Here is a 10,795-nt window from a genome sequence, read left to right on the forward strand (position 1 = left end):
GGCAAATGTTCTAAAATGGCAAACATCATGAACGCTCACCCTCAGGACAGTTTTAAACACTGAATTCACATCTGAAGTGTATATGTTCACAATGAATATTTGAAAAATAAAATAAGTAGATACTTTTGAGAGGCTTTTGATGTTCTGAACTGTTGCAACCTTCATATAAGATTCTATCCCTCCAGCTCTGCCCGAGTCTTGTCATTATTCAAAGTGAGTATCTGCTGCTTCTCTATAGAAGGCCTTGTTTCTTCCAGTCCAAGACTTTCATTCTCTTCACTACCTTCTCTAAGAAATGTTTGCCTTTACTTCAAAAACCTCTCTACTCTCTCATCTTCTAATTAACTTACAATCCCTTTTTTGTTAAGTTGATGCACTATTTTTTACACCCTTTATTCCTGCTAATGTTTTTCTTGTTTTACCTTTCCTACAGTTTGGTATTCCTCTTAGACCTGTAATTAAAATAACTTCTGAAGTCACATCACCCAAAGAAGGTTTCTCCATCAAATTGAATAAATGTTGGTGATTCCCCACTAATATGATTCTGTTTTGATTTAACACCCCATTACACTTATTGCTTATCATTCCACATAATTAAACTTTGTGCTAAGCAAGCTATATCTTATTACCCTGTTGCAACACAAAAAAAGTTTCAACTACCTTCCATACAAAAATCATCTCTACATGTTTTCCCAGTGAGTTTTTCCTGCTACAAACAAAACTTATCTAGTTTTGTTTATGACATTATTTACATCATCTAGTTTAAAACTGTTTCACTAATTACACATGCAACCAAACTCCTTCAGTGTGACACAGAAATTTTCAAAGCATTATGAGCCTAAATTGAATGTAATCTGTCAAGTTGGTCTACCTTCAAACAGAATGAAACTAGACTATCTTATCTTTCATCTCTGATATATATTTCTAATGATGCATTGTGTGACCCAATTAGGTATTTAAATGGTCATATTCCACTATTCTATTGACCTATATTCAAATTTCTTTTACTTAGAGATCAAACAATAGGATTTTTGCAATCCGAATCTTGTATCCAAATTATTCATTATTTCTCTCATAGGTTTTAATAATTTACAAATTTGATGACCATTCATTTTAAATCTTACTTGAGTTGCTAAAAAGGTTAAGAAGGATTAAGATGTTGGATAGGAGATAGGATTAGCTTATAGCTCCCACTCGGATGGGCAGAGCATCACGTGGAGACTCACAGACTGAACTTTTGCTCCAAGAACTACCACAGGAATGTACCAAGAAAGTTAAGAGAATCCACAGACCCTTTGAAGAAACTGGATCACTGCTACAGGCTCCCTGAGACACCGAAAACCTGTAAGTCTGCTTTCTTTCTCAGTGGGGAGGCTCATGATTTGGGGTAAGTTCTCAGCCCTGGTGATGGGCTACCTGGAAATAGACTTGCTGCTGTTGTGGGGATGTACAGTGTTAGTGAGACCAGCCTTTAAGACTGCAAGCTATGTGGGAGTGGGGTGAGTCCTGTGACTGCCAGCTTTCCCCCACCTTCCTGGTGACCTGCATGACTCAGCAGAGGCAGCCATAATCCCCTTGGGAATATAACTCCACTGGACTGGGAACCACACCCTCATGCCCCACAGCAGCCACAGTAAGCCCTAAGGAGAGGCTGAACTCAGACACTCCTACCTCTGCTGTCACCTGGCGGTCTTTCTCTACCCGACCTGGTAGCCAAAGACAAAGGTCATAATCTCTTGGCAGCGCTAAGGCCCTGCCCACTGCCTGAGAAACACAAATACTTAACCAGGTATCCCCATGGCAAACCTGTAGCCTTCTTATAGGGCCACAGTGATGCACTCTTGAAAGTGCCACCTCCTGGCTGGAGGCCAACCAGCACAAAACCAGTACACTAAACGAAAACACAACCAAAGACCTTCATAGAGTTCACTTCACTTCCCTGCTGCCTCCACCAGAGCAGCTGCTGGTATCCATGGCTGCAAGACCTGAGACAGGTCGCATCGCAGGATACGATCTTTGTAGTGTTTTTGTAGACACTCCCCAGTACCAGCCTGGGGCCTGGTAGCTCTGCTGGATGGCTAGACCCAGAAGAGCAAAAACAATCACTACAGTTCAGCTCTCAGGAAGCCTCATTCCTAGGGGAATGGGGAGAACACCACATCAAGGGAGCACCCTGTGGGACAAATAACCTAAACAGCAGCCCTTGAATCCCAGATTTTCCCTCTGACATAGTCTACTCAAATGAGAAGGAACCAGAAAAAGAATTATGGTAATATGACAAAATAAGCTTCTTTAACACGCGAAAGATCATACCAGCTCACCAGCAATGGATCTAAACCAAGAAGAAAACTCTGAATTGCCAGAAAAAGAATTCAGAAGATTGATTATTGAGCAAATCAAGGAGGCACCAGAGAAAGGTGAAATCTACCTTAAATAAATAAAGGATATGAAATCAAAATTCTTCAGTGAAATAGCACAGATTAAAAACAATCACGACTTCTGGAAGTCAAAGACACATTTAGAAAAATGCAAAATGCACTGGAAAGCCTCAGCAATTGAATAAAACCAGCAGAAAAAATAAATTCAGAGCTTGAAGACAGGGCTTTCAAGTTAACCCAATCTTTCAAAGACAAAGAAAAAAGAATTTTTAAAATGAACAATGCCTTCAAGAAGTTTGGGACTATGTTAAGTCCAAACCTAGGAATAATTGGTGTTCCCAAGGAAGAATAGAAATATAAATTTGGAAGATATATCTGAGGGAATAATTGAGGAAAACTTCTCTGGTCTTGCTAGATATCTAGACATTCAAATACAAGAAGCTCAAAGAACACCTGGGAAATTCATTGCAAAAAGATCATTGCCTAGGCACATAGTCATCAAGTAATCTAAAGTCAAGACAAAAGAAATAATTTTAAGAGCTATGAAGCAAAGCATCAGGTAACCTATAAAGGAAAATCTGTCAGATTAGCAGCAGATTTCTCAGCAGAAACCCTACATGCCAGAAAGGACTGGGGCCCTAATTTTAGCCTCCTTAAATGAAAGAATTATCAGCCAAGAATTTTGTATACAGCAAAACTAAGCTGCACAAATGAAGGAAAAATTCAGTCTTTTCCAGACAAACAAATGCTGAGAATTTGCCACCACCAAGCCAGTACTGCAAGAGCTGCTAAAAAGAGCTCTAAATCTTGAAACAAATCCTCAAAATACACCAAAATAGAATCTCCTTAAAGCATAAATCTCACAGGACCTATAAAACAATGACACAATAATAATAATAATAATAAGGCATTCAGGCAACAAATAGAACGATGAATAGAATAGTATCTCACATCTCAATAATAATATTGAATGTAAATGACCTTAATGCTCCACTTAAGATGCAAAATGGCAGAATGGATAAGAAATCACCAACGAAGTTTCCGCTATCTTTAGTAGACTCACCTAACACATAAGGACTCACATAAACTTAAGGTAAAGGGATGGAAAAAGATATTCCATTCAAATGGACACCAAAATTAAGCAGGGGTAGCTATTCTCATATCAGATATAACAGAGTTTAAAGCAACAGCAGTTACAAAAGACAAAGAGGGATATTATATAATGATAAAAGGACTAGTCCAACAGGCAAATATCACAATTCTAAATATATATGCATGTAACACTGGAGCTCCCAAGTTTATAAAACTGTTACTACTAGACCTAAGAAATAAGATAAATAGCATCACAATAATAGTAGGGGCCTTTAATACTCTACTGACAGCACTAGACAGGTCATCAAGACAGAAAGTCAACAAAGAAACAATGAACCTAAATGATACACTACAACAAATAGACTTAACAAGTATTTACATAACATTCTACCCAACAACCACAAAATGTACATTCTATTTATAAGCACATGGAACCTTCTCCAAGATGGACCGTATGATAGGCCACAAAACAAGTCTCAGTAAATTTAAGGCAATCAAAATTATATCAAATACTTTCTCAGACTACAGTGGAATAAAATTGGAAATCAACTCCAAAAGGAACCCTCCAAACCATGAAAATACATGAAAATTAAATAACCTGTTCCTGCATGATCATTTGGTCAACAATTAAATCAAGATGGAAATTAAAAAATTATTTGAACTGAACAATAATAGTGACGTAACCTATCAAAACCTCTGGGATACAGCACAAGTGGTGTTAAGAAAAAAGTTCATAGCATTAAATGCCCACATCAAAATGTCAGAAAGAGCACAAACAGACAATCTAAGGTCACACCTCATGGAACTGGAGAAACAAAAACAATACAAACCCCCAAATCCAGCAGAAGAAAAGAAATATTGAAGGTCAGAGCAGAACTAAATGAAATGGAAACAACAGCAACAAAATAATACCAAAGACAAATGAAACAAAAAGCTGGTTCTTTGAAAAGACAATAAAATTGATAGACCATAAGCAAGACTAACCAAGAAAAGAGGAGAGAGGATCCAAATAAGCTCAATTAGAAATGAAATGGGATTACTGACACCACAATTACTGATACCAAAGAAATACAAAAGCTTATTCAAAGCTACTATGAACACCTTTATGCTCATAAACTAGAAAACCTAGAGGATCCAGATAAATTCCTGGAAATATACAACTCTCCTAGATTAAACTAGGAAGATATAGAATCTCTGAACAGATCAATAATAAGCAGCAAGATTAAAGTGGTAGTAAAAAAATTCCCAACAAAAAAAAAGTCCAGGTCCAGACAGATTCACAGCTAAATTCTATTAGACATTCAAAGAAGAATTGGTACCAGCCCTCTTGACATTATTTCAAAAGATAGAGAAAGAGAAAATCCTCCCTAAATCATTCTATGAAGCCAGTATCACCCTAACACCAAATCGGGGAAGAACAAACAATAAAAGAAAACTATACACAAATGTCCCTGATGAACATATGTGCAAAAATCCTCGACAAAATGCTAGCAAACTGAATCCAACAGCGTATCAAAAATATAATCCACCATGATCAAGTGGATTTCATACTAGGGATGCAGGGATGGTTTAACATATATAAGTCAATAAATGTGATACACCAAATAAACATAATTAAAAACAAAAATTACATGGTCCCCTTAATAGATGCAGAAAAAGCATTTGACAAAATCCAACATGACTGTATGACTAAAAGCCTCAGCAAAATCGACGTAGAAGGGACATACGTTAATGTAATAAAAGCCATCTACAACAAACCCACAGCCAACATACTGAATGGGGAAAAAGTTGAAAGCATTCCCCCTGAGAACTGGAACAAGAAAAGGATGTACACCTTCACCACTTCTATGCAACATAGTTCTGGAAGTCCTAGCCAGAGCAATCAGACAAGAGAAAGAAATAAAGGGCATCCAAATTGGTAAATAGGAGGTCAAACACTTGCTGTTTGCTGGTGATATGATTGTATACCTAGAAAACCCTAAAGACTCATCCAAAAAGTTCCTAGAACTGGCAAGTGAATCCAGCAAAGTTTCAGGACGCAAAATTAATGTACACAAATCAGTAACTCTACTATACACCAACAGTGACCAAGCTTGGAATCAAATCAAGAATTCAATTCCTTTCATAATAGCTGCCAAAACAAACAAACAAACAAATAAACAAAAAACAAACCTTAGGAATATACCTAATCAAGGACGTGAAAAAACCCTATAAAGAAAACTGCAAAATGCTGCTGAAAGAAATCTCAGATGACACAAACAAATGGAACCACATCCTATGCTCATGGATGGGTAGAATCTATGTTGTGAAAATGGCTATACTGCCAAAAGAAATCAACAAATTCAATGTAATTCCCATCATAATACCACCATCATTCTTCACAGAACTAGAAAAAACAATTCTAAAATTCATATGAAACCAAAAAAGAGCCCACATAGACAAAGCAAGACTAAGCAAAAAGAACAAATCTGGAGGCATCACATTACCAAACTTTAAATATACTATAACACCATAGTCACCAAAACAGCATGGTACTGGTATAAAAATAGGCACATAGACCAATGGAGCAGAATAGAGAACCCAGAAATAAAGCGAAATAGTTACAGCAAACTGATCCTCAACAAAGCAAACAAAAACATAATGTGGGGAAAGGACACCCTATTTAACAAATGGTGCTGGGATAATTGGCAAGCCACATGTAGAAGAATGAAACTGGGTCCTCATTGCTCACCTTATACAAAAATCAACTCAAGATGGATCAAAGACTTAAATCTAAGACCTGAAATCTTAAAGATTATAGGAGATAACATTGGAAAAACCCTTCTAAACATTGGCTTGGGCAAAGACTTCATGACCAAGAACCCAAAAGCAAATGCAACAAAAACAAAGACAAATAGATAGGACTTAATGAAACTGAAAAGCATCTGCATAGCAAAAGAAATAATCAGCAGCATTAACAGACAACTCACAGAGTGGGAGAAAATCTTCACAATCTGTACATTCAACAAAAGTCTAATATCCAGAATCTACAAAGATCTCAAAGAAATTAGCAAGAAAAAAAAAACAAGCAATTCCATCAAAAAGTAGGCTAAGGACAGGAATAGACAATTTTCAAAAGGATATACAAATGGCCACCAAGTATATGGAAAAATACTCAGCGTCACTAACGATCAGGTAAAAGCAAATAAAAACCACCATGTGACACCAACTTATCCCTGCAAGAATGTTCATTATCAAAAAATAATAGATGCTGGTGTGGATGTATACTAGTACAACCACTATGGAAAACAGTGTCGAGATTCCTTAAATAACTAAAAGTAGATCTATCATTTCATCCAGCAAATCCCATTACTAGGTATCTACCCGGAGGAAAATAAGTCATTATACAAAAAAGATACTTACATATGCATGTTTATAGCAGCACAATTTGCAATTGAGCCCAAATGTCCATCAATCAATTAGTGGATAAAGAAAATGTGAGATATATATCTATATCTATATCTATATCTATATCTATATCTATATAGATATAGATATACACACACACACATACATATACATACATATATATAGGAATACTACTCAGCCATAAAAAGGAATGAAAGAATGGCATTCACAGCAACCTGGATGGAAATGGAGACTATTATTCTAAGTGAAATAACTCAGGAATGGAAAACTAAACATTGTAACTCGCTCATATGTGGAAGCTAAGCTATGAGGACACAAAGGCCTAAGAATGATACATTGGACTTTGGGGACTTGGGAGCAAGGGTGGGTGTAGAAAGTAATAAAAGTCTACACATTGCATACAGTGTACACCGCTCAGGTGATGGGTGAACCAAAATCTCAGAAATCACCACTATAAAACTTATTCATGTAACCAAACACCATCTGTTCCCCAAAAACCCATTGAACTAAAAAAAAAAATACAAAATTAAATAAATAAATAAATAAATAAATAAATAGATTAAATATGCAGGGTTAATGCCAGAGTACTGTGCCATACTCCAGGAACTTCATTCAGGTCAGCAATTTTCAAATAAAAAAAATAATGAAAGAGTGAAAACTACATTTTATATTGTACTCCAGAACACACATGTGTATGCTTAAATATTTAAGTATATCTAAATTCAATTAAATTTAATAATTAAATTATTGTCCCTACTATGAATTAACCATTCTTACATTTTCTGTTCTATTTTTTTCCATTCTATTTCATTATCTGTAAGTTACCGGTTATGTTTCACACTATTAGCTATTGCTATGTGACAAAACAGTCTAATGAAATCTCATTTCTTTCTTCCATGGATCAGCTGAGATTTTGCTGACTTGGTTTAAACTTGGCTGGGCTTGACTCCAAACTGCATGTTAGGTCGAATCTGTCAAATTACGTGTTCCTGACTCTCTTTTAACTGGAACAGGTGAGTTAAACTGGGCATGTACTACTTATAGCAAAAGAAAAAAAACAAAAAATATATGCTAGGTTGGACAAGTGGAATAACCTAGACATGCTCTTTTTCATAGCAATGACAGAAACATAACAGGTTAACCTAATTGCACAAAGCATGTTTTATGCTTCTGCTTGTTTTTCTGTTTGCTAGAATCTCATTTACCCAGTCACATGGTTGAGACTAAAATCTAAGGTACAGAAGTATATTTTACTCACTATGAGGTGAAAGCAAGCAATGTGACTAAGCCCGATATCGTGGAGAGAAGTATATCCCCAGCAAAGTGGTGTCATAGAAGGAGCAAATATTTGTTGACAATAATCTAATATACAACCCTCATCAAAATACTTTCACAATTGATTTATGAGCTACCACAAAAGTTCCAAATTGATATTGATCTATTGGTCAGAGCCCTATGAACATAATTATTCATCAAATGACTAATCCATTATGTTTTTATATTTAGTTTATAATATTCCATAAACATAAAATTATATGTTACATGACTATTTGATGTCCAGACTCTCCAAATTTATCATATTTCATTGGGATACCAACACTACTAGAAAGTTAAAATTAGGTCAGCTCAACACATAATCAACCAAATATTTTATAATATTTAATAATCAATGTAGCCCCATCTACATATTTATAAGCTCTCATTTGAATAATTCATTTTACCATTGTGTTCAGAAATAATGTTTGATGTTCAAAACTATAGGTTGACCATTAGGTAAAATGTAATATTTAGATATAATATTGCTTTTTTCAAAAAGATAATTGCTGAGTGTCCCCTTGTTGAACTTTATTTTTTTCTCAATATTTCCCCTTCCATATAAACTTTCTTAATAAATATGTTTTTAATAAAACATTTTATAGTTTGTGTGCATGTGCATATATATATATACACATACACATATATATACACACACACACATATATGTATAGATACACACACACATACATTTAATGGTTAGGATGAATTTCCTTGAAATCAGGGGATATATTTGTTTATCTTAACTCTATCTTCTAAATTCCTAGTTCAGGGACTACAGCTTAAAAAGTTTCTGATAAATGAGTAATGCCACAGACTCTCATTTAAAAATTTGCTACATTGATATGTTTCTAATAATCTATCATTATTACCTTCCTCCCAATATCTCAAATATCTCTGAAAGTGGTTCAGGAATCTCCTTTAAAAAATGGAATATTACCTATAGAAGATAGATGGACTAGGTAAATTAAATTCATTTAGGGTTGTTTAATTAAAAATGTTACTTACCCTTAGTTATTTTTTCTACTATCAACCTGATTTTGTTTATATTTTTCAGTTGGAAAGTTAGTTGTGAGAAAATCTAATAAAGGTATAACTGGAATTTCATTTTTTTACCACTGAGAAAGTATTCCCAAACAAGTTTTCCAGATTGTGCATTGGTCCTGAATGTCAGGCCTCCGAGCCCAAACTAAGCCATCGTATCCCCTGTGACCTGCACGTATATGTCCAGATGGCCCGAAGCAAGTGAAGAATCACAAGAGAAGTGAAAATGGCCCGTTCCTGCCTTAACTGATAACATTCCACAAGAAAATAAGTGAAAATGTCCGGTCCCTGCCTTAACTGATGACATTACCTTGTGAAATTCCTTCTCCTGGTTCATCCTGGCTCAAAAGCTCCCCCACTGAGCACCTTGTGACCCCCACCCCTGCCTGCCAGAGAGCAACCCCCTTTGACTGTAATTTTCCTTTACCTACCCAAATATCATAAAACAGCCCCACCCCATCTCCCTTCGCTGACTCTCTTTTCGGACTCAGCCCACCAGCACCCAGGTGATTAAAAAGCTTTATTGCTCACACAAAGCCTGTTTAGTGGTCTCTTCACACAGACTCGAGTGAAACTGAAGTCAGCTGAAAAACTTTGACATGGGTATTGTAAAATTTTGATCAATAAGTCATCATGAGATATGTGTGTGTATAGATATATGATATATATTATGTATATTTAATGGCAACTGTAAGTACTTTTGCACCAACCTAATATTATAATTAAGAGATACATGATGACTATATGTACAAATTTATTTATAGATATATACCCCATATATTATATATACACACATATATAAACACACATACACACATGCACATATACACATAAATAAATCACAATTATATAAACAGTTAAAATTTAGTGTAATAATTGCTGTTGAAGAGATTTGGATGAAGTGATTTGAGAGCATTATGTATAAACAATTTAATGCAGTCTGGAGAATTTAGGAGAGGTGTACTACTGTCATTTATTCGAGCTGGCACATGAAGAATGGGCAGGGATTTTCAAAAGAAAAAAATGGGAAATTTTGGGAAAAAACCTTTTCTTATGCATTAATACAAGGACAGAGAGCAATCAGAAACGAAGTATAACTGAGGATATTGAGGTGTTCTTTAAGATAGGAGTTTATATAAGTACATTGATATTAGAAAGTGGAGATAAACAACATAAGAGGACAGAATATGAAGTAGCTTTATACTGAAGAGTTCCATATGTGGCCTGAGAAAAATGTAAGTCAAAAGTATTTTGAAATCTGAAAAGTGACATAATCAATTATGCTTCTTTGGAAAAGTACCATGGCTATAGTGTGTGAAAGTTGTTTGGAAACACAGACAAGACATATGGTTTCTGAAATAAATCAGAAACAGTATTATTTGAATCCGAAGTAAACAATATAAGTAAATGTTAAAAGATGAAAGTCAATTTTAGAGATACTTCTGCTATATAACTGATATGATTTAGTGATCAATAGGATGTTGAAAAGAGGAAGAAGTGGAATATGATTAATTAAACTTAATTGAAGTTGATGCCAATGAGCAGAAAAGTTGAGAAAG

General features: G+C 35.2%; 1 annotated feature.

Moving 5' to 3' along the window:
• Positions 839–2,038: an enhancer, noted in NCBI's record as "MED14-independent group 3 enhancer chr13:55060370-55061569 (GRCh37/hg19 assembly coordinates)". NCBI's record gives its function as "activates an origin of replication core promoter dependent on BRD2, BRD4, P300/CBP and CDK7 cofactors, and independent of MED14, by STARR-seq in HCT116 cells {active_cell/tissue: HCT116}" and the evidence as "EXISTENCE:reporter gene assay evidence [ECO:0000049][PMID:35650434]".

Source organism: Homo sapiens, chromosome 13 (genome assembly GCF_000001405.40).
Source record: "Homo sapiens chromosome 13, GRCh38.p14 Primary Assembly".
NCBI lineage: Eukaryota > Metazoa > Chordata > Mammalia > Primates > Hominidae > Homo > Homo sapiens.